Here is a 23,445-nt window from a genome sequence, read left to right on the forward strand (position 1 = left end):
ATTAAAAATACAAAAATTAGCCAGGCATGGTGGCACACGCCTGTAATCCCAGCTACTCGGGAGGCTGAGGCAGGAGAATCACTTGAACCCAGGAGGTGGAGGTTACAGTGGGCTGAGATCGTGCCATTGCACTCCAGCCTGGGCAACAGAGAGAGACTCCATCTCAAAGAGAAATAAAATAATTGTGGCCCAGAATGGTGTCTTAAGCCTGTATACCCAGCCCTTTGGGAGGCGGGGATGGGTGGAGTACTTGAGCTCTGAAGTTTGAGACCAGCCTGGGCAACATGACACCCACCTCTACAAAAAACACAAAAATTAACTGGGCATGGTGGTGCATGCCTGTACTCCTAGAGACTTGGGAGGCTGAGGTGGGAAGATTGCTTGAGCCTGGGACGTCAAGACTGAAATGAGCCATGAGTGAGTCACCGCACTCCTGCCTGGGAGACATAGTGACACCCTGTTTCTAAAACAAACAAAAAAAGGCCAGGCATAGTGGCGTGTGCCTGTAGCCCCAGCTACTTAGGAGGCTGAAGTGGGAGAATAGTTTGAGCCCAAGAATTCAAAGCTGCAGTGAGCAATGATCATGCCACTGCACTCCAGCCTGGGCTACAAAGAGACTCCATCTCTAAAAAAAAAGTAAAATAAAATAAATTTTAAAATTGTTTTATCATTTATTTTTTGGAGACAGGGTCTTGCTCTGTCATCCAGGCTGGAGTGCAGTGGCGTGATCTCGGCATACTGCAACGTTCGCCTCCTGGACTTAAGCAATCCTCTCACTTCAGCCTCCCGAGTAGCTGTGACTACAGGCTAGCACCACCATGCCCGGCTAATTTTTCTTTTCTTTTTTCTTTTTTTTTTTTGTATTTTTTTTTTTTTGTAGAGATAGGGTCTTACCATGTTGCCCAGGCTGGTCTTAAACTCCTGACCTCGAGCAATCCACCTGCCTCGGCCTCCCAAAGTACTGAGATTACAGGCATGAGCCACCACACCTGGCCAATAAAAAAATTAATAGGCTGGGCGCAGTGGCCCATGCCTATAATCCCAGTAAGGAGGCCGAGGTGGGCAGATCACGAGGTCAGGAGTTCGAGCCCAGCCTGGCCAATATGGTGAAACCCTGTCTCTACTAAAAATACAAAAATTAGCTGGGCATGGTGGCAGGTGCCTGTAATCCCAGCTACTCGGGAGGCTGAGGCAGGAGAATTGCTTGAACTCAGGAGGTGGAGGTTGCAGTGAGCTGAGATCACGCCATTGCACTCCAGCCTGGGCAACAGAGTGAGAGTCTGAGTCAAAAAAAAAAGAAAAAAAAATTAACAACAGGCCAGATGTGACGGCTCATGCCTGTAATTCCACCACTATGGGAGGCTGAGACGGGCAGATCACTTGAGCTCAGGAGTTCAAGACCAGCCTAGACAACATGGCAAGGCTGCATCTCTATAAAAAAATTACAAAATTTAGCCTGGCATGGTGGTGCACGCCTGTAGTCCCAGCTATTTGGGAGGCTGAGATGGAAGGATACCTTGAGCCTGGGAGGCAGAGGTTACAGTGGACTGAGATTGTGCCACTCCACTTCCACCTGGACGAAAGAGCCAGACTCTGTTTCAAACAACCAAAAAAACGAAAAACCCAACCCCCCAAAATAAAAACAATAATAATAAATAAAAATAAATTAAACAGAAATACCATAGGCCTGTTGGGAGGAGGTATGCAGGAAGCGGATGGGGAGAGACAGTGCCCATACTTGCTTCAATGGGCAGATCTACTCTTTTTTTTTTTTGAGACAGAGTCTCGCTCTGTCACCCAGGCTGGAGTGCAGTGGTGCAATCTTGGCTCACTGCAACCTCCGCCTCACGGGTTTATGCCATTCTCCTGCCTCAGCCTCCCGAGTAGCTGGGAATACAGGTGCCCGCCACCGAGCCCGGCTAATTTTTGTATTTTTAGTAGAGATGGGGTTTCACCGTGCCAGCCAAGATGATCTCGATCTCCTGACCTCGTGATCCACCCTCTTTGGCCTTCCAAAGTGCTGGGATTACAGGTGTGAGCCATAGCACCCGGCCGGCAGATCTACTCTTAAGTGTCATTTATCAGATTCGAAGAAGTGTTTTGGTTTAATAAAGCATTATGCTCCTTGAAACAAGTTTGAGAACCCCTGGGTTAGAGGACCTCTTGCCCATTGTGTGCTCACACACACACAACACACACATACACCATCCCAGTACATAATGACTTCCCTGACCCGGAGAGAAGGCAATATGTCCCCCTTACGTCTCAGTTGGCTCCACATCGCCAGCTCTGTATTCCACTTTCCCTCTCTCTACAACCCCAGTCTATGACTTTTGGGCCACGGAGTCTGGGTTCCTGGGCAACCTGGTTCACATCCTTCTCCTGCCGGCATGGCCTGGCTCCATTTCTGTTCGGCTACCAAAGCCCCAAGCTTTGTGGAGCCTGCCTGGCCTTGAGGAGGGGAATGGGCTCCATCCTGAGAGCCTGCAGGAGGGTTTAAGCTTCCCATCCCCCATTGCTACAGTAGCTCCCCCAGCTTTTCATTCCATATCCTTTATTTTTATTTATTAAAAACTTAATTTTTGGCCGGGCGCAGTGGCTTACGCCTGTAATCCCAGCACTTTGGGAGGCCGAGGCAGGCGGATCACGAGGTCAGGAGATCGAGACCATCCTGGCTAACACGGTGAAACCCCGTCTCTACTAAAAATACAAAAAATAGCCAGGTGTGGTGGCGGGCGCCTGTAGTCCCAGCTACTTGGGAGGCTGAGGGAGGAGAATGGCGTGAACCCGGGAGGCAGAGCTTGCAGTGAGCCAAGATAGCACCACTGCACTCCAGCCTGGCGACAAAGTGAGACTCTGTCTCAAAAAAAAAAAAAAAAAAAACACTTAATTTTTTTTTTTTTTGTAGAGACAGGGTCTCCCTATGTTGCCTGGGCTGGTCTCAAACTCTTAATCTCGAGTGATCCTCCCACCTCAGCCTCCCAGAGGGCTGGGATTACAGGCATGAGCCACCACACCCAGCCGCATATTTTTTATTTTTGTTTCTATGTGTTTTCTGTCTGTTCTTTGCTGTCTCCTCCATGTCTAGAACAGTGCCTGGCACATGATAGGTGCTCAGTAAATACAGGACTGAAGAAGACAGAGGCAGACAGGCCAGATGTGGCTGCTGTCCTTAGGGAATTGACAGTCCATGATCTATGAGAATGAGCTGCAGACTGGGAGGCAGGTGTCCCAGCATGGGCTCACCAAGCTCCTACCCTCTCCCGGTCCAGCTTTCTCACCTATGAAATAAAAGTGAAGCTGGACATGGTGGCCCACGCCTCTAATCTCAGCAGTTTGGGAGGCCAAGGTGGGTGGATCACTTGAGATCAGGAGATTGAGACCAGCCTGGCTAACATGGTGAAACCCCATCTCTACTAAAAAACACAAAAATTAGCCGGACGTGGTGGCAGGTGCCTGTAATCCCAGCTACTCGGGAGGCTGAGGCAGGAGAATTGCTTTAACCTAGGAAGTGGAGGTTACAGTGAGCTGAGGTTGTGCCACTGCACTCCAGCCTGGGTGACAGAGCAAGACTCTGTCTCAAAATAAATAAATAAATAAATAAACAAACAAACAATAAATGAAAGTGATGGATTACATGAATGGTTTTCAAACTGGGTTCCTCAGGGCTCAGTTTGGGGGAGAATGCAAAGGTTAAATACAAATAACAATGGAATGTAGTAACATTGGCGCTTGGGCGAGTGCTCTGGGTGAGGAATGTGGTGCTCATGGGGAGAAGAGCCGCATCAGAGCAGGCTTCCTGCATGAGGCAAGGAGGAAACACAAGAGCTGAGAGCTGAAGGAGAGGGAGTGAGGGCTGCCAGAGGAGCTGGGAGGCGATTTCAGGCAGTGGGAACTGGAGCTGCAAACCCCCAGCCTCCTGCAGTCTGGCTATCTGTACCAGCCCTCACCCATGCCCACCACCCTCAGGGCACTCACATCCCTTCTTGCACTGATATTTTCCCGTCCTATCATGACCCTCGTTTGAGGGTGCAGGGAGGACTGGAGCTCAGAGAGGGAGGGTCACCTGGCCAGACCCTAACCCGCTGAGTTCCAGTGGAGTTCCTTTCATCCCCCAGCACTGGATGGGGCTGGATACCTGGAGAGGGACCGTGCTGCTCTTCCTGGGCCCTGCAGCCTGCCTGGCTGGTCCACATCTTCCTGGGCCAGGAGGGTAGTATGGTGCGAGCTTCTAGCTCTCTGGCTGGGGCCCCCTGGCCTACTGGGCTGGCTTCCTGCCCTGGTGGCCCTGGCCCAGCTCCCCAGCTCATGTGCCTCTGCAGCGAGTGGTCAGCCCCTTCCCATCTGCACTTTACAAGCCTCATCGCTGAATCCTCCCCATAGCCAGAGAGCCTGGCACTCTCCTCTCCAGAGAAGGAAACTGTCCAGGGTCACACAGGGACTTATGGGCAGGTCTGTGTGACCTGAGTCTGGGCTCTGAACTGGTGCTTGCAGGGTCTTGCCCTCTGGCTCTGGCAGCCTGAGTGTTACTGTAATCCCTGAGCCTTTGAACAAGCAGGCACTGCTTCCTGAGATCCCCATTGCTGCTATCAGCGTCTCTGTTTCCCAGCTCCACACTGCTGCCAGGACAGACGTATCTTCTGTCTTGTAGCATCTCCATTTCTCTTCCCTTTAGATCTATTTTTTTTTTTTTTTTTTTTTTGAGATGGAGTCTCGTTCTATCATCCAGGCTGGAGTGCAGTGGCGCAATCTTGGCTCACTGTAACTTCTGTCTCCTGGATTCAAGCGATTCTTCTGCCTCAGCCTCCCAAGTAGCTGGGATTACAGGCGCATGCCACCACGCCTGGCTAGTTTTTGTATTTTTAGCAGAGACGAGGTTTCACCACGTTGGCCAGGCTGGTCTCAAACTCCTGACCTCAGGTGATCTGCCCACCTCAGCCTCCCAAAGTGCTGAGATTACAGGCATGAGCCACCGCTCCCGGGCTGGATCTATTTCAATCACCCTCCTTCCTCTGCAGCCTGAAACTTGAGGCTTTGCCCACTTCCCAAAGGCACGAGTAGCAATGACCATTTGTTCTGTCATTTGGCCATAGCTCTAGGTCAGAGGACAGTCCTTCATCAAATGTTTGTTAAGCATGCAATCTAGCCAGGGGATGACAAGGGCCAAGTAATGTGTTAATTTCTTCATTCACTAAGCACAGAGAATGGAGTAGAAGGAAGGTGGAAAGGAGAAGGAAGGAAAAGAGAGAAGAAGGAGGATAGAAAGGAAGGAAGGTGGGAGGGAGAAAGGAAAGAAAGAGGGAGTCCTTTAGGTTATCTAAGCCCCCTCAGGACTTGGTCTGGCCCTCACAGTCCAAGAACAGACTTGGGCTTGAGCCTCTGACCAGCCAGATGACTGAGAAGCTGAGGAACAGCTTGAGCCTCAGTTTTTTCCTCTGTAAATGGGGTTGATAGCAGTTCTGACCCAGAGGGCTTTTGGGGGAGTCACAGAGATGCTGGGTGCTGCCTTTGCACTCAAAAGGGTCCAGGCTAGGTGTGGTGGCTAACACCTGTAATCCCAGTACTTTGGGAGGCTGAGGTGGGAGAATCTCTTGAGTCCATGAGTTACAGACCAGCCTGGGTAATATAGAGACAAACTGTCTCTATAAATTTTCTTTTCCCAAAAATTAGCCAGGCATGGAGGTGTGCACCTGTAGTTCTAGCTGCTTGAGAGTCTGAAGTGGGAGGATAACTTGAGTACAGGAGGTTGAGGCTGCACTGAGCCATGATCACACCACTATACTCCAGCCTGGGTGACAGAGCCAGACCCTATCTCAAAAAAAAAAGGGGGTCCAGCATGCATCTTCCTGTCAGCTTACCTAAGGGAGCATGATAAATTGAGTCCCTGCCACGATGGACATGGGGAGTGTAGTGGGAGGGAATGGCAAAGGCACCACAGGCAGAGGGAACAGCCTGGGCACAGTGGGGGGTGTGATGTGGCACAGCACTGATTGTGGGAAGCGAGGGATGTGGGAGATGAGGCTTCAGGTAGTCAGAGGGAGGTTGAGGCAAAGCCTCACCTGCATGCTCTAGATGAGGTCCAATTCCTGGTACCCAGCTTCCTAGCCCAGTGATGGGCCACTTCTCCCAGGGCCACAGTTTTCTCTCCTATCAAATAGAACATGTTAGTACTGCTCTATGGTGCCAATGAAGGGTATAAGTGTCCAGTGCCCATTTCCTGCCCCAGCAGAGGCACTTTCTTTTCCTTGTCCTCTTGCCTACTGGGGAACTCCTTCCATCCCTGGTTCCTCCCCCAGCTTCTGCGAGGCCCCTCCTCTGAGCCCCCACACCTCATCAAACCCTCAACACCGTCTGGTGTTTTCCTTGGTGCCTCTTCAAGATGCTGTGAGCTCCTTGGGGGCAGGTGGTGCCTGTGTACCTCTTTTTTTTTTCTTTTTTTTTTTTTTGAGACGGAGTCTCGCTCTGTCACCCAGGCTGGAATGCAGTGGCGTGATCTCGGCTCACTGCAAGCTCCACCTCCCGGGTTCATGCCATTCTCCTGCCTCAGTCTCCTGAGTAGCTGGTACTACAGGGGCCCGCCACTGCACCCGGCTAATTTTTTCTTTTTTTCTTTTTTTTTTTTTGAGACGGAGTCTCGCTCTGTCTCCCAGGCTGGAGTGCAGTGGCACAATCTCCGCTCACTGCAAACTCCGCCTCCCGGGTTCATGCCATTCTCCTGCCTCAACCTCCCGAGTAGCTGGGACCACAAGCACCCGCCACCACGCCCAGATAATTTTTTGTGTTTTTAGTAGAGACGGGGTTTCACCATGTTAGCCAGGATGGTCTCGATCTCCTGACCTCATGATCTGCCTGCCTCGGCCTCCCAAAGTGCTAGGATTACAGGCGTGAGCCACCACGCCTGGGCTTTTTTTTTTTTTTTTTTTTGTATTTTTAGTAGAGATGGGCTTTCCCCGTGTTCTCAATCTCCTGACCTCGTGATCCACCTGCCTCGGCCTCCCAAGGTGCTGGGATTACAGGCGTGAGCCACCGCGCCTGGCCCTGTGTATCTGTTTTTCTGGACCTGGGCCCAAGGCCTAATAGGTGAGTGCCCAGGACTCCATGCTGACTGGAGGAAGGAATAGCATGTGGTCAATGGGAGCAGAAGGGCCTGGTAGTCCAGGAGAAGGAAGAAGCCACTTCTTTTCAAAAAATTTATTGCCAGGCATGGCGGCTCACGCCTGTAATCCCAGCACTTTGGGAGGCCGAAATGGGCGGATCAGGAGGTCGGAAGTTCGAGATCAGCCTGACCAACATGGTGAAACCCCGTCTCTACTAAAAATGCAAAAATTAGCTGGGCATAGAGGTGTGCACATGTAATCCCAGCTACTCGGGAGGCTGGGGCAGGAAAATCGCTCGAACCCAGGAGGCGGAGGTTGCAGTGAGCCGAGATTGCGCCACTGCACTCCAGCCTGGGCGACAGGGCAAGACTCCGTCTCAAAAAAAAAAAAAAAAAAATTTATTACTGGCCGGGTGTGGTGGCTCACGCCTATAATCCCAGCACTTTGGGAGGCCAAGTCGGGCAGATCACGAGCTCAGGAGATCGAGAGCATCCTGCCTAACACAGTGAAACCCCATCTCTACTGAAAATACCAAAAAAAAAAAAAAAATTAGCCAGGCGTGGTGGCGGGCTCCCGTAGTCCCAGCCACTCAGGAGGCTGAGGCGGGAGAATGGCGTGAACCCGGGAGGCGGAGGTTGCAGTGAGCCGAGATCGCGCCACAGCACTCCAGCCTGGGCGAAGAGCGAGACTCCGTCTCAAAAAAAAAAAATTAATACTTTTTTTTTTTTTTTGAGACGGACTCTCACTCTGTCACCCAGGTTGGAGTGCAATGGTGTGATCTCGGCTCACTGCAACCTCCCCCTCCCGGGTTCGAGCGATTCTCCCGCCTCAGCCTCCCAAGTAGCTGGGACTATAGGCACCCTCCACCACACCCAGCTAATTTTTGTATTTTTAGTAGAGACGGCATTTCACTATGTTGGCCAGGCTGGTCTCGAACTCCTGACCTTGTGATCCGCCTGCCTCAGCTTCCCAAAGTGCTGGGATTACAGGTGTGAGCCACTGCACCTGGACTATTTATTTTTGTAGATATGGTAGTCTTTCTATGTTGCCCAGGCCGGTCTTGAACTCCGGGCCTCAAGTAATTCTCCCGCTTCAGCCTCCTAAAGTGCTGGGATTATAGGTGTGAGACTGTACGCAGCCAAAAAAGTCTACTTCTTTTTCTTTTCTTTCTTTCTTTTTTTTTTTTTTTTGAGACATGGTCTCACTCTTTCACACAGGCTTGAGTGCAGTGGCACGATCACGGCTCACTGTAGTGTCACTCTCCCGGGCCCAAGTGATCCTCTCACTTCAGCCTCCCAAGTAGCTAGAATTACTTGGCCATCACACCTGGCTAATTCTTTTTTTATTTTTTGTTGAGACGGGGTCTCCCTATGTTGCCCAGGATGGTCTCAAACTCTTTGGCTCAAGCAATCCTCCTGCCTTGGCCTCCCCAAGTGCTAGGATTACAGGCATGAGTCACCACAAGGTTACTTCTGATGGGAGGCTTGGGCAGATGGCACAGAAAGGATAGGTCTGTATGAACAAGGTTTGGCTGAGTGGAGGGGATCGGGTATGACTAGAAGCCAGGCCTGCTAGAGGGAGCAATGAAGGTTTTAGAGCAGGAGAGGGACCCCAAAGGCCAGGCAGCCCTTCCACTGGGACTGGGTACATTTCCTGAGTGCTTGTTTAGTAAAAGCACTTTGTAGCTCAGCGGCTTGACTCCCCACCTGCAAAGTGCAAGGGAGTCATCTTGCAGGCAGCGGTGAGGATGTAAGAAGATGCCATGGCAAAGGCTAGTCCTTGACATTGAGCCTCTGATGATCCCACTCTGTATTCTCAGCTTAGCACATCCGGGTCAAAGGTATGAACTGTGCTTCCTCAACTGGCTTGGAATTTCTCAGCGTAAGCGTCCCCTTCCTCCGTAATTCTCCACAGAGGAAAGCAGTTCCCAATACAGCTATGTTTTTTATTTGTCCTGGGCCCAGTAAGGGCAGGTTCTGTGCTCACAGTAGACCCCAGAGTCAGTCCCAGACTTCTAAGTCCCACCATGACCCTAGAGATCTGATGGGGTCCCTCATGCATACGCTGAATGTGTATTGAACACTCAGTGTACTGGCCTTGGGGGAGGTAAAAGGCAGGCAGAATCGCTGATCACATGAGGCTTGTCATCTAGTTTCTCCCTCCTTTACCGTGTCAAGCCTGGGCTCCCAAGATGAGTGTGAGGCCAGCCTTATTCCAGGATATATATATCTATATATATATATTTTTGAGACTGAGTCTTGCTGTGTTACCCAGGCTGGAGTGCTGTGGAGCTATCTCCACTCACGGCAAGCTCCGCCTCCCGGGTTCACGCCATTCTCCTGCCTCAGCCTCCCGAGTAGCTGGGAATACAGGCGCCCGCCACCACGCCCGGCTAATTTTTTGTATTTTTAGTAGAGATGGGGTTTCACCGTGTTAGCCAGGATGGTCTCAATCTCCTGACCTCGTGATCCACCCACCTCGGCTTCCCAAAGTGCTGGGATTACAGGTGTGAACCACCACACCCGGCCCCAGGATATATTATTTCCAGTTCCCTTTCCTTCTCTCCTTTCAGGAGAAACCCACTGTTCTTAGAAATGGAGAAAAATGTCCAGGCCCAGTGACTCACACCTATAATCCCAGCACTTTGGGAGGCCAAGGTGGGTGGATCACTTGAGGTCAGGAGTTCAAGACCATCCTGGCCAAAAATGCTAAAACCCTGTCTCTACTAAAAATACAAAAATTAGCTGGGCATGGTGGCAGGTGCCTGTAATCTATGCTACTCAGGAGGCTGAGGCAGGAGAATCACTTGAACCCGGGAGGCAGAGGTTACAGTGAGCTGAGATCATGCCATTTTGCACTCCACCCTGGGTGACAGAGTGAAACTGTGTCTCAAAAAAAAAAAAAAAAAAAAAAAAAAAAAAGAGAAAAACTCCTTAAGAAGGTCTGAGTATATTCTGAAGCTATGTTCTTCTCTCTGCATTGCTACCTGAGGTCCAAACCACTGTCACCTCTTTGCCTGAATGATTGCAACCGGTTTCCAAGTGGCCCCTGCTCCCCTTCTTATCCTCTTACCCACCTCCATTCCCCATTTTCCAATCAGAGTACTCCTTTTTTTTTTTTTTTTTTTAAGATGGAGTCTCACTCTGTCGCCCAGGCTGGAGTGCAGTGGCGCGGACTTGGCTCACTGCAACCTCTGCCTCCCAGGTTCAAGCGATTCTCCTGCCTCAGCATCCAGAGTAGCTGGGATTACGTTCGCCCACCACCACACCTGGCTAATTTTTGTATTTTTAGTAGAGACGGAGTTTCACCATGTTGGTCAGGGTGGTCTCAAACTCCTGACCTCAAGTGATCCACCCCCCTCAGCCTCCCAAAGTGCTGGGATTACAGGCATCAGCCACTGTGCCAAGCCCCAAAGTACTCTTTAAAACATGCGTCTCAGCCCAGGTGTGGTGGCTCATGCCTGTAATCCCACCACTTTGGGAGGTTGCGGCGGGAGGACTGCTTGAGCTCAGGAGTTTGAGACCAGCCTGGGCAAGACAGTGAGACTTCATTTCTACAAAAAATAAAAAAAAACTTAGGAGGGTGTGGTGGAACGTGCCTGTAGTCCCAGTTAATTGGGAGGCGAAGCAGGAGGATCCCTTGAGCCTAGGAGGTCGAGGCGGCAGTGAGCTGTTATCGTGCCACTGTACTCCAGCCTGGGTGACAGATCAAGACTCTGTCTCAAAAAAAAAAAAAATCATCTGACCATGGAGTCAATACTCATATCTATCAAAGACCTCTCACAGCACATGGAATAGAAACCAACTCCTCCCCTTTCTACAAGACCCTCCATGGTCTGTCCCCTGCCTCCCTCCCACCCTATAATCCTTTTACTCCATTCTGGACACTGAGACAGCCTCATGGTCTTCGCCAGTGCTGCTTCCTCTGCTTGAAACATTCTCCTCCAGTCCTCCCAGCTGTTCCTTCCCATTTTCCAGGTCCCAGCATTGGCTTTGGAGCCAGCAGCCCACCTGTGACAGGAGCCTGGCTCTGCTCCTAGCTGGCCGTGTGACCTTGGGCAAGTCACTGGCTTCTTCTGTGCTTCTGTTTATTGTGAAATGAGGATGTTAATGCTAACGTATCCCAGAGGATGGTTTCAAGGGTTAAAGAAAATAAAGCACTAGAGAGAGGTCTGGCACTTAGTAGGGCCATTTCCTCAATTTGGCTTCCTTGACCTCTCAAAGTATGTCCCCACAGTCACTTTCCTATCACCCAGTTTTCTTCACAGAGCTTGGCAGTGTGAAGTAACCTTGGTTATTCAACTTTTTTTTTTTCCCCCAAGACGGAGTCTTCCTCTGTCACCCAGGCTGGAGTGTAGTGGCAAGATCTCGGCTCACTGCAACCTCTGCCTCCCGGGTTCAAGCGATTCTCCTGCCTCAGCCTCCTGAGTAGCAGAGATTACAGGCGCCCGCCACCACGCCTGGCTAATTTTTTGTATTTTTAGTAGAGACCGAGTTTCACCACGTTGGCCAGGCTGGTCTCGAACTCGTGACCGCGTGATCCACCCGCCTCGGTCTCCCAAAGTGCTGGGATTACAGGCGTGAGCCCCCGCGCCTGGTCAACTATTTTATGCAATCAGTATTTATTATGCTCCTACTATGTGCCAGGCACTGGTTGTAACTGCCATCTGATTGGACGATCCGTAAACGCTGAGGCCCAGTCTGTGCGGTTCACTTGCGTTCCTCCACGCGCCCCCCAGCACAGTGGGAAGCACACAGTAGGTGCTCCGCTCTGCTCCTGTGCCCCGCCCCGCGGCCCCTCCCCCGCTCCAGGAAGTGCGGGGGCTCCAGCCGCCCGGCCGGCCGCGATGCATTCTGGGGAAGGAGCAGCACCAAATCCAAGATGGCGGCCAGCAGGAGGCTGATGAAGGTAAAAGCCATTCTCTGGCAGCGGCCGGGCGTGGGGCGGCGTCCTAGGCTCCGGATCCCCGAGGCAGGCGGCGGCTTCTCAGGGCGCTGCCGTCTGGCTTCCTGCCCTACACGGCCTCGTCGGTTCCCTGGGCCGCGCGCAGGCTCAAGGTGCTAACGGGGCTGGCCTAGGCCGCAGCCTGGGCGGGAGCGCAAGGCCGCGCTGGGAGCCGCTGTCGGCCCCTCAGCCCGGCCCGGGGCGTTCACGCCACTCTCCGCCCGGAGCTTGGCCGCGTCCCCCTGTCGCGGAGGCCGCGGTCCGATCTGAGGGCGTCGTTAATGTGAGAGCCCGGTTGGGAGGCTCCAAACCGGGCGCCTTCGGGGAAGGCCCGAGCGCCGGAGCCCCTGCCCGGAGCCCGCGCCGCGGAACCGCCCCGCCCTGGGCCGCAGCGCGCCGGGCTTGCAGCTCCGCTTGGCCCGGCCGCAGCTCGGGAGTCTGGGAGGTTCGGGCTAGGAAAGAGAGAAGGAGGCCAGGCGGCCAAAGTTAGGTCAGTTTGTTGGTGGGTCGTTTGGAATTGCGCTGGGTCCTAGCAAACTGTCGCCTTGTGACTGCAGAGTCACACAGCGGGTAAGTTCCAACTCCAGGAAGGCCTGAGGTCGGCCCCGATCGCGGCGCGGTTCTGCTTCCCTCTCCTCCACTCAGTCATCCCGATCTCCCCTCCCTGATAAAGTGCCATTTTTGGGGGGATAACGGTTGATTTCAGTCGTTCGAATCAAAACGGGCCAAAGTTTATAATAATAATTTGGTACTTTGGATCTTGAATGCAGCAGGGTGCTTTCTCGCTAATTGGCACCTTTTGGTGAGGAACACATGCTAAATTGGCTTAGTACTTTTGCCAGTGGATTTGCCAAGGTCCTCTGTAGCCCACCCCGCCAGCATCTGTGAGTCGGCGGCTGGGTAGTGCTGCCGGCCTGCAACGGGCCGGAAATTAAAAAAAGGCCCAGGAGCCAGTTTCCTGAGGGGAGATAAAGAGCTGGGGTTCGTTCTAGGCGGAGCAGTGCTTGGTAGAGCTAGACATTGAACTTGGAGCCACAGTCTCTGAGCATTCCCTCCGTCCCTGGGAACGTTTCCTTTCTTTTGTTCCCTAAGGGCTAGAGAGGACATTAACTTTATAAAACTGGAGTGGAAGTGGGCACAAAAGAACAGTCAGAGGACTTCAGACCTCTCCTCATCTCTTAAGCTAGTGACACCACCATTCACCAGATAAGGGGTCGGTTAATGGCTTTCTTTCCTACCCTACTCCCAGGTGCAGTCGTCCATTAACCCTTGTGGATTTAAATTTAGAAAGATTTCTGGAGTGCAGGCCGGGCGCGATGGCTCACGCCTGTAATCCCAGCACTCCTGGGAGGCCGAGGCGGGCGGATCACTTGAGGTCAGGAGTTCAAGACCAGCCTGGCCAACATGGTGAAACCCTGTCTCTACTAAAAATATAAAAATTAGCTGGGCGTGGTTGCATTTGCCTGTAATCTCAGCTACCCGGGAGGCTGAGGTGGAAGAGTCGCTTGAACCCGGCAGGTGGAGGTTGCAGTGAGCCAAGTTTGCACCACTGCACTCCAGCCAGGGCGACAGAGTGAGACTCCATGTCAAAAAAAAAAAAAAAAAAAAGATTTCTGGAGTGCATGCCTTGCTTTCTAATGTTACTGAAATTACTCTGAATCTATATCCTCATCTCTCAGGTGCCCTCCCAAGTGCTCTCCTCCCCAGACTACCCCTGACGGACACCAGAGTTCTTTTAAAGCAGATAACTCAATTCTTTCACTCCTGTTAAAAACCTCTATGGTGTTATTGTCCTCAGCAGTTAATCCTAACCTCTTACTTGGCATGCAGGACCTTTCTGAGACTGGCTGAAAGCAATCCCTTGAGCCTCACCTCCTGCCCTTTGGTTTCCCACAGTTCTTGCACCTAATCACAGTAGCTACTATTTTTCCAGCTTTTACTTCGTGCTTTATATGCATGATCATGTTTAATCCTTCCTGTGAAGTAGACATTGTGATTTCCATTTTGTCGATGAGAAAAGATTCTTTGGCTTGCCCAGGGTTACCTAGCTAGGGAGAGTGAGTTGTGATCGAATTCGGTTCTTTCTCCAAAGCAAAGTCTCCTGCTCTTACTTGCTGTCTGATGTCCCTTTGCACGTGTTGTTTGCTCTACCCAAGAAAAGCTGCCTTCTCCTCACTTCTCCCTTCCAGAGAAGTCCCAGGTTCAACTCCAGTGCCAACTACTCTGTGAGCCCGTGCTCCCACATCCCCCTTCAGAATGTGTTGTTTCCTCCTTTGTGTGACCACAGCGCTTTCTTTATATTTCTCTTTGAGCACTTGTCACAATCTCTTTGTGTTACAGACTTGTCTTTCCTGTACTGGGTTCTGAGATCCCGAAGGGCAGGGATCTTGACCTAATTCATCCTGGTAGCCCCCTAGCCTATCCCAGTTGACCCAGTTTGGAATCTCCAGGCTCTCAGGGGTCTAAGAGGGGACTTATTATGGTTTTAAAATTATTACTCTGTTTCTAAAAAAAAACAGACCTTGGAAAAAAATTGTAACATTAACTGAGTATTTATTAAGTATTAGGTTATTTACGTAAGTCATCTTTTCAACACTCAAAGTTAGTGTATTGTCATTTGTATTTTTTATAAATGAGGACATTGTGAGGTTAAGTAGGTTAAGGGAGTTACCTAAGGTAGAATTGTGGAACGTGGTGGGGAGAGAGAAGACGCTGACTCTTCCTGGCTCCAGGATCCAAATTCCATGCCTCTTGTCAGGCTGTCTTTCTTACTCAAAGGCTGCATGGAGCGGTGTGTTGTTTCTTAAGTTGAGGATGGAAAGGCTTTCAGTTCACTAGGGGAACACCAGTTATGTAATGCTGATCATTGGCTGTGAGAATCAATGTTTAAGACTGTTTTTTTTTTCTTTTAAAGGAAGAAAAATTATTGATACAAGTTGATAAACAGTCTTTTCAGTACATAGGGTGGTAATAAAGTGATTTTCGTTGGTGAAAAGTTGGGGCTTAGTGCATGGAACAGTGCCTTAGGCATAGCAATCTAGCAAATGTTGAATGATCAAATTAATTACATCTTAAAGAACTTTAGATTTCTGTTAAAAATGTTTTCTAGGACATTCCACAGCAAAGATTTCTTTGTAACAATGGACTGTCTGCAGATAGTGTAAAACACATTATTAAAAGTAGAGTGATTTACATATACTACACTGAGAAGTTATTTTAGGCAAAGTGAGTATGATAAAGTCTTTTATTTCAAAAGCACTTGCCAGGAGGCTTAACCTCTTTTAGAAGCCTTTTTAGGAATTACAGTGTTAATAAAACATTAAGTACATTTTAATTTGCAAGCAGCTAATTTAGCATTGTTGGCTACAACCAGATTGTAACCATTGCTTCAATCAGGATGGGGAAATTGCTGCAAAAGCCAAAAGTGAAACCTTTATGTGTGGCTTAGGCAACTGATTGCCATCTGATCATTTCTTTGCAGCTTCACACTGCACACATTTCCCCTAAGGGCCCTCCTGTTGAGTAGCTTCCCAGAAGGGCTTTTCTCAGAGGGGAAATCTGTGGATTTAGAGGGGTGTGTGTGTAATGTCTTATTACTTATCATGACATAACTGTTGAGTTAAGGAGTTTCACTCTTGTTGCCCAGGCTTCAGCGCGATGGCACGATCTCTGTGCACTACAACCTCTGCCTCCCAGGTTCAAGCGATTCTCCTGCCTCAGCCTCCCAAGTAGCTGATACTATAGGTGTGCACCACCACTCCCTGCTAATTTTGTATTAGAAAGGAGGTTTCACCATGTTTGCCATGCTGGTCTCTAACTCCTAACCTCAGGTGATCTGCCCGCCGAGGCCTCCCGAAGTGCTGGGATTACAGGTGTGAGCCACTGCGCCCAGCCTAATGCTATTTAAAAATGTTCACTCAGAACTTCATATTGTTATATTTTCTCCCAGTTCATAGTCATAGTAGGAGGAACCTCTAAAAGTTCATTCCTTGGGTTTCGTTGTATTAAGCAGTGAGGTAGTTTGCTTTTGAGTATAGGTTTAGATTCTGAGGTTGGGTGATTAAGGAGATAGAGCAATGAGTATGTCACATGTTTCAGGAGGTGAGGGGAGTTTTATATGTGATGTTATGCCAGTGTAAATGTCCTGAATCCACTGAGGCTTTGTGAATTGAGAAAAACGTTGCGTCTTTTTTTCTAAATTCATGCATTCCAGTAAGTTGGGACTGTTTCAGCCTCCCTTAATGGTATTCTTTGTAAATGTTTGGGACAGGTGATGGGAAGGAGTATACTCAATTATTGCAACATTTGGGACCTTTTAAGGTATTTACTAGAAAACTCTGAGGCAGGCCAGGCGTGGTGACTCACACCTGTAATCCCAGCTCTTTGGGAGGCCGAGGTGGGCGGATCATGAGGTCAGGAGTTCGAGACCAGCCTGGCCAACATAGTGAAACCCCCGTCTCTACTAAAAATCCAAAAAATTAGCTGGGCGTGGTGGTGGGTGCCTGTAATCCCAGCTACTCGGGAGGCTGAGGCAGGAGAATTGCTTGAACCCGGGAGGCAGAGGTTGCGGTGAGCCAAGATTGTGTCATTGCATTCCAGTGCGAGACTCCGTCTCAAAAAAAAAAAAAAAAAAAGAAAACCCTGAGACAAAAACTCTTGTCTCAGGGTACTGGGGCCTTTTCTGATCTTGTTAAAACTCTAAATTAGGAGACTGTTGCTTTAAAATTTTATTATAAGAGGACACTTGAAAGTATTCTCATTTTATTGGAACATTTATTACGTTTAAGATATTTCTATATTCTTTGCTACAGCAGTAAATGTGAGAGCCACATTTCTTTGCAGCTTCACACTGCACACACACTGCACACACTGTGCACATTAGAGAGCCACAGAGACGTTCCTCCTGAGCCAGACTCCAACCACTTCCAGAGTTTTCTTGGGAACGGCACATAGATCTGTAGGCATCTGAGTCTTAGCTCCTCCTGTGACTCTCTCCCTCTGGCCCCATGCATCTCCTCCTGTCCCACCTTAGTTAATGGTTCACTTGTCTACTCAGTTGCTCAAGGAAAAAACGCCAGCGGAGCCCTTCTCGGCTCTTCCTCCCTTGTCTAGTCACCTGGCGGATTCTGCTGAACTATGCCTTCAGTCTCTCTTCTCTGCCTGTCTTCTCTCCATCCCCACTCCCACTCCCAATGCCACTGCCACTCCCACTGCCTCAGTTCAGGCCATCCCTGTTTGTGGTAGACACCTGCATCGAGCTCCTTAATGGTTCATCTAAACTCCTTACTGGTCAGCGCACTCTCTGTCCCACACTACTCCTAACCAGCAGTGCATCAGAGTAGTGTATGGTGTGGTGTGCAGTAGAGAAGTGCACATGAGCAGGCCCTGCTCTCAGAGATTGGAGCAGAATTTAGTAGGGTGAGGATGAGGCTGGGACTCTGGATTACAAGTGCACATTCCTTAGCTTTTTCCTTCAAGGTCTTGTCTCACCAGCCTTGTCTCTCCCCACTTGCCCGTTGAGTCCCCTAAAAACAGCATGCTTTGCACACACACTCTGGATCTCGTGATTGGCATCCCTGTCTCTTCTCTGTACCAGGGTAACTTTTTGACCTTTGAGACTCAGCTCAAGGGGCAATTCCTCTGCCCTTGAGGAGCTCAACAAAGGAGAAAAATGGCACGTACCTGGAACAAAGAAATCCTGGGCTGGCCACTGTGTGCTAGATGTCTGCCACCTGAATAATGGCTTGCAGGAGAGGGAAAGACCCCCTCTGACACTGAGGAGGAGGTCGAACTTGGCCTGGCCCTTTAAGCACGAGTAGGGTTTCAGCAGTTGAAGAAGACGGACTGGGTGGCCAGTGAGGTTGAGTCTCTCTCATCCCTCAGGAGGGCTGTGGGCAGTGCCTATGGGAAATGCTTTGAGGAGCCCCAGAGACCATCTGCCTACTCCCCAGTGCTGCTTGCGTCTGACCTTGTGCCGTCCCGCTTTGGGTTTTAGTTAGGCCAGCCCCTGAGATGCTTTCCAGAAGTGTTGAGGCATTGGCTTGATTTTACCCCAGATTGGCATGTCCAGTGCACCTGGTTCCTCCAGAGCTAGGAGACCTCCCTCTGCCAGGCCAGCCTTGGAGGGTGAGCTACCTCTCTATAGAGGGGTCACTGAGGGCAGTGCTGATGGATTTAAGGACAGGTGGCAGAGATGCCATAGCCTTTAGGTTGAGGGGCCAGATCTACATATCTCCTGGATGCTACAGCTATCCAGGAGAAGTGGCATGCCACTCACTCAGAAAGGGCTTTGCATGTATCTCCTGTGGCCAGCTTCATCATGCCTGTTCTTGGGGGACATAAATAAGCCTAACCTCCCCAAGCCCCCCACCCCTATAAGAAAGGGAGGAAGGGGCTTTTGCTCAGAGCAAAGCTGTTTAGAGGAAGACTACAGCATAGCAGTTAAAAGCTCAGGTTCTGGAGTTTCAATCCTGGGCCTGCCATGTCTTAGCTGAGTGACCCTGGGCAAGTTACTTTACCTCTCTGTGCCTTAGTTACTTCGTCCGTGTGTGAAGGTTAAATGAGTTAATATATACCAACTGCTTAGAAGAGTGCCTGGCATATAGTAAGTGTGAGCTACTTGTAGATATTATTGGGAATAACCAAGACATGTTCCAGGGCAGGGAGGTGACCAGCCTGACAGGAGGGGAGGATTTGGAGGAGTGATAGGAGATGGTATTGCAAAGGTGTTTTCGGGACAGGTTGGGGCCAGTCTGCCTGGACATACCCTCATCACTGAGAGCCCATTCTCTTACCTGTGGTACTCTCTTATTCTGTAGGTTGGAGAAAGAGTTACTGAGACAGCTGTGTGAATGTTTGTTTAAAAATGTTGGCTGGGGGCCAGGCGCGGTGGCTCATGCCTGTAATCCTAGCACCTTGGGAGGCCGAGGTGGGCGGATCATGAGGTCAGGAGATTGAGACAATCCTGGCCAACATGGTGAAAACCCATCTCTACCAAAAATACAAAAATTAACCAGGCCTGGTGGTGCGTGCCTGTAATCCCAGCTACTAGGGAGGGGGAGGCAGAAGAATTGCTTGAACCTGAGAGGCAGAGGTTGCAGCGAGCTGAGATCGTGCCACTGCACTCCAGCCTGGGTGACAGAGTGAGACTCTGTCTCAAAAAATGTTGGCTTGGCGCAGTAGCTCACACCTGTAATCCCAGCACTTTGGGAGGCTAAGGCAGGTGGATCACTTGAGGTCAGGAGTTCGAGACCAGCCTGGTCAACATGGTGAAACCCCGTCTCTACTAGAATCACAAAAAAATTAGCTGGGTGTGGTGGCATGTGCCTGTAATCCCAGCTACTCGGGAGGCTGAGGCAGGAGAATTGCTTGAACCCAGGAGGCAGAGGTTGCAGTGAGCCAAGATCATGCCACTGCACTCTGGCCTGGGCAACAGAGTAAGACTCCATCTCAAAAAAAAAAAAAAAAAAAGAAAAGGAAAAAGAAAAATGTTTACTTGGCTGGGCGTGGTGGCTCATATCCGAATCCCAGCACTTTGAGAGGTCAAGGCGGGTGGATCACTTGAGGAGACCAGCATGGGAAACATGACGAAACCCCATCTCTACTAAAAAAAAAAAAAAAAAAATACAAAAATCAGCCGAGTGTGGTGGTGCATGCCTGTAATCCCAGCTACTCTGGAGGCTGAGGCAGGAGAATCGCTTGAATCCGGGAGGCGGAGGTTGCAGTGAGCTGAGATGGTGCCACTGCGCTCCAGCCTGGGTGATAGAGCGAGACTCTCGAAAGAAAAAAGAGAAAAGTTTACTTTTCCCAACAAAGTTGAATAGCTTTTTTTTTTTTTTTTTTTTTTTTTTTTGGAGACGGAGTCTCACTCTGTCACCCAGGCTGGAGTGCAGTGGCACCATCTCAGCTCACTGCAACCTCTGCCTCCCATGTTCAAGCCATTCCTCCTGCCTCAGCCTCCCGAGTAGCTGGAACTACAGATATGCGCCACCATACCCGGCTGATTTTTGTATTTTTAGTAGAGACGGGGTTTCTCCATTTCCCAGGCTGGTCTCGAACTCCTGCCCTCAGGCGATCCACCCACCTTAGCCTCCCAAAGGATTACAGGCGTGAGCCACTGTGCCCAGCTTAAAATTGAATAGCTCTTGAACTCAAAATTTGTCTTTCTAATATCTCAGAAATTTACCTTGCATATTGTAAACATCCAGTGTAGTGTGACAGTCACTGTGTCCAAAGATGAGCATAGGTGCTATGGAAGGCTCCCACAGGTGCTGAACTGGGGCAGGGGTGGAGGTTTGAAAGCAACTTTTTTTTTTTTTTTTTTTTGAGGCGGAGTCTCGCTCTTTCACCCAGGCTGGAGTACAATGGTGTGATCTTGGTTCACTGCAACCTCCGCCTCCCGGGTTCAAGCAATTCTTCTGCCTCAGCCTCCTGAGTAGCTGGGATTACAGGCGCACGCCACCACGCCTGGCTAATTTTTGCATTTTTGTTTTTTTTTGTTTTTTTTTTGAGATGGAATCTTGCTCTGGCGCCCATGCTGGAGTGCAGTGGTGCGATCTCGGCTCACTGCAAGCTCCACCTCCCAGGTTCACGCCATTCTTCTGCCTCAGCCTCCCGAGTAGCCAGGACTACAAGTGCCCGCCACCATGCCCAGCTAATTTTTTTGTATTTTTAGTAGAGACGGGGTTTCACCATGTTAGTCAGGATGGTCTCGATCTCCTGACCTTATGATCCTCCTGCCTCGGTCTCCCAAAGTGCTGGGATTACAGGCGTGAGCCACCATGCCCGGCCCCCAATTTTTGTATTTTTAGTAGAGCTGGGGTTTCACCATGTTGGTTAGGCTGGTCTCAAACTCCTGACCTTGTGATCCGCCCACCTCGGCCTCCCAAAATTCTAGGATTACAGATGTGAGCCACTGCGCCTGGCCGAAAGCAACTCTTGATTGAGAAGTTGAGGTCTCAGATGTAATATTCTTGCTTCTTGTCTTCTCTTTCCTTTTTTTTTTTTTTTTTTTTGAGACGCAGTCTCGCTCTGTCGCCCAAGCTGGAGTGCAGTGGCACGATCTTGGCTCACTGCAACCTTCACCTCTGGGTTCAAGCAATTCTCCCTGCCTCAGCCTCCTGAGTAGCTGGAATTACAGGCGTGTGCCACCATGCCTGGCTAATTTTTTTTTTTTTTTTGAGATGGAGTCTCGCTGTGTTGCCCAGGCTGGAGTGCAGTGGTACAGTCTTGGCTCACTGAAAGCTCCGCCTCCTGGGTTCACGCCATTCTCCTGCTTCACCCTCTCGAGTAGCTGGGACTACAGGCGCTCGCCACTACACCCAGCTAATCTTTTGTATTTTTAGTAGAAACGGGGTTTCACCATGTTAGCCAGGATGGTCTCGATCTCCTGACTTCATGATCCACCCACCTTGGCCTCCCGAAGTGCTGGTATTACAGGCGTGAGCCACCGTGCCTGGCCTGATTTTTGCATTTTTTAGTAGAGACGGGGTTTCATGGTGTTGGCCAGGCTGGTCGTGAACTCCTAACCTCAGGTGATCCGCCTGCCTCAGCCTCCCAAATAGCTGGGATTACAGGCGTGAGCTACCGCACCCAGCCCTTGTCTTCTCTTTCAACCTTGAAGCAGAAAGTTAAGAAAGTTGCTTCTGGTGGCTGTGTAGTTTCTCCTTCTGACCCTTGCTGCACACATACTCTAGAATTCCAGAGCTGTGTGAGGGATCTTGGAAAGCAGACACCAGTGGCCTCTGTTTACAGATGAGGAGGCTGAAGTCAGTGGTGGAGCCAGGCCCAACATCAAGGTCCCCTGCTCTCTGGGCCTTGCTCCTGCTTTTTAGATGGTTGCTTTTGGTCTTGAGGAAGGGACAAGATGGAGAAGAAGAGGGTTCATTTCAGATTCGGTGGCTGTTTGGGTTTTGTTTGTTTTGGTTTTTAACACTTCCAGGGCTGTGTTGATTATAGTTTTCTGTATTTCACTTTCTTGTCAGATTTTGTCCCTACTTTCCTAGCATAGGTAGGCAGAGCGGGGAACATTCTCTTTTGACAGCCCTTATCCCAGCAGGCACATCTGCAACCAAAGCAGGTGCTAATGTCAAAGGGCTCATGGGCTAATGTCAGGGCTCATGTGATGCTCCATCTTTCTGAGAGGAGACCACCTGACTCACGGTGAGGAAGAGGGTGTAACTCAGAGGTTGAATAGCCTCTGAACCCGTCTGAGATGGCTTATAAAAAAGTGTTTCACACCAGCACGCCTCTCATTAAGAACAGTCAGCGGCCGGGCACGGTGGCTCAGGCCTGTAATCTCAGCACTTTGGGAGGCTGAGGTGGGAGGATCATGAGGTCAAGAGATCGAGACCATCCTGGCTAACACAGTGAAACCCTGTCTCTACTAAAAATACAAAAAAAAATTAGCCGGGCGTGGTGGTGGGCGCCTGTAGTCCCAGCTACTCGGGAGGCTGAGGCAGGAGAATGGTGTGAACCCGGGAGTCGGAGCTTGTAGTGAGCCGGGATTGCGCCACTGCACTCCAGCCTGGGTGACAGAGCAAGACTCTGTCTCGAAAGAAAAAAAAAAAAAAGAACAGTCAGCATAAGAAAACCTAAGCTTCCTGAAGGATTCTCCACGAGTTTTACACAGGCAGTTCCCGTCGTGCCCATTTGTCCTGTGTCAGGCTTTGTGTGGTTGAGTCTGTTGTGGACAGACTTGAAGAGGTCGGTGTCCCAGCCCTCAAGGAGCTGTCAGTCTGGTAGGGGGGTGCTGGACTCTGGAGTTTGTAATGGAGGTCAGGAATGCCAGGCACACCCATGTACAGATGGACACGGAAACACCTTCCAGGAATGAGGCCCGGCAGCCAGAAGCTGGTGTCAAGGCCTGCTGAGTTGGAGCTTTGGCCATGCTTCCCCCATGCTTACTGTGGAGGTTGTGGGCAGTGCGTTCCTCTAAGCCTCTGTTGAGTGTTTTCTTTGTCATGTCCTCTTAGAATGACCACCTGAGAAGGAGTGTGCTGTAACCTCTGAGAAGCACTGTGCTGTGATAGAGTAAGAGTTCAGATGTAGATTTCTGCCTTTGACTCCTTAGTGTTGTGCCTTTGAGCCTCAGTGCCCTGATTTGTCCAGCAGATGATGAGATGACTTCATAAAGTTATGATCATAGCTAAGTGTATTATTTATTTATTTATTTATTTATTTATTTATTTATTTATTTTTTGAGATGGAGTTTCACTCTTGTCACCCAGGCTGGAGTGCAATGGTGTGATCTCGGCTCACTGCAACCTCTGCCTACCAGGTTCACGCAATTCTCCTGCCTCAGCCTCCCGAGTAGCTGGGACTACAGGTGCCCGCCACCACGCCTGGCTAATTTTTGTATTTTTAGTAGAGACGGGGGTTTCACCATGTTGGCCAGGATGGTCTC

At 50.2% G+C, this 23,445-nt stretch overlaps 1 protein-coding gene across 5 annotated transcripts in view, besides 6 other annotated features; it reads left to right on the forward strand.

The window, feature by feature from the left end:
- The window catches only part of UBE2L3 (ubiquitin conjugating enzyme E2 L3), a 74,588-nt gene that overhangs the window by 6,320 nt on the left and 44,823 nt on the right, over positions 1-23,445 (forward strand). For 3 of the 5 annotated variants that reach the window (NR_028436.3, NM_003347.4, NM_001256356.2), the window contains exon 1: positions 11,948-12,005. The exons of 1 other annotated variant lie outside the window; for it this stretch is intronic. Coding sequence is in view for 2 of the 4 variants with exons in the window: in NM_003347.4 (NP_003338.1) it covers positions 11,979-12,005 (27 nt within the window). In the remaining 2 variants the exon portion in view is untranslated. Of the gene's footprint in view, positions 1-11,947; positions 12,612-23,445 lie in introns of those variants that run through there. One more of the 5 variants, NR_046082.2, reaches the window with a different exon arrangement.
- Positions 74-368: a silencer, noted in NCBI's record as "tiled region #10827; K562 Repressive non-DNase unmatched - State 25:Art". NCBI's record gives its function as "represses a minimal TATA promoter and a strong SV40 promoter by Sharpr-MPRA in K562 cells {active_cell/tissue: K562}" and the evidence as "EXISTENCE:reporter gene assay evidence [ECO:0000049][PMID:27701403]".
- Positions 4,177-4,737: an enhancer, noted in NCBI's record as "H3K27ac-H3K4me1 hESC enhancer chr22:21914232-21914792 (GRCh37/hg19 assembly coordinates)". NCBI's record gives its function as "activates a minimal SCP1, AML or CMV promoter by ChIP-STARR-seq in primed H9 embryonic stem cells {active_cell/tissue: H9 hESC(primed)}" and the evidence as "EXISTENCE:reporter gene assay evidence [ECO:0000049][PMID:30033119]".
- Positions 10,942-11,129: a silencer, noted in NCBI's record as "fragment chr22:21920997-21921184 (GRCh37/hg19 assembly coordinates)". NCBI's record gives its function as "represses an EF-1alpha promoter that drives an FKBP-Casp9 reporter gene in an ReSE screen in HepG2 liver carcinoma cells {active_cell/tissue: HepG2}" and the evidence as "EXISTENCE:reporter gene assay evidence [ECO:0000049][PMID:32094911]".
- Positions 11,772-12,011: a silencer, noted in NCBI's record as "silent region_13507". NCBI's record gives its function as "represses an Ori minimal core promoter by ATAC-STARR-seq in GM12878 lymphoblastoid cells {active_cell/tissue: GM12878}" and the evidence as "EXISTENCE:reporter gene assay evidence [ECO:0000049][PMID:35858748]".
- Positions 12,262-12,401: a silencer, noted in NCBI's record as "silent region_13508". NCBI's record gives its function as "represses an Ori minimal core promoter by ATAC-STARR-seq in GM12878 lymphoblastoid cells {active_cell/tissue: GM12878}" and the evidence as "EXISTENCE:reporter gene assay evidence [ECO:0000049][PMID:35858748]".
- Positions 14,208-14,277: an enhancer, noted in NCBI's record as "active region_18698". NCBI's record gives its function as "activates an Ori minimal core promoter by ATAC-STARR-seq in GM12878 lymphoblastoid cells {active_cell/tissue: GM12878}" and the evidence as "EXISTENCE:reporter gene assay evidence [ECO:0000049][PMID:35858748]".

This window comes from Homo sapiens, chromosome 22 (genome assembly GCF_000001405.40).
Source record: "Homo sapiens chromosome 22, GRCh38.p14 Primary Assembly".
Classification (NCBI taxonomy): Eukaryota; Metazoa; Chordata; class Mammalia; order Primates; family Hominidae; genus Homo; species Homo sapiens.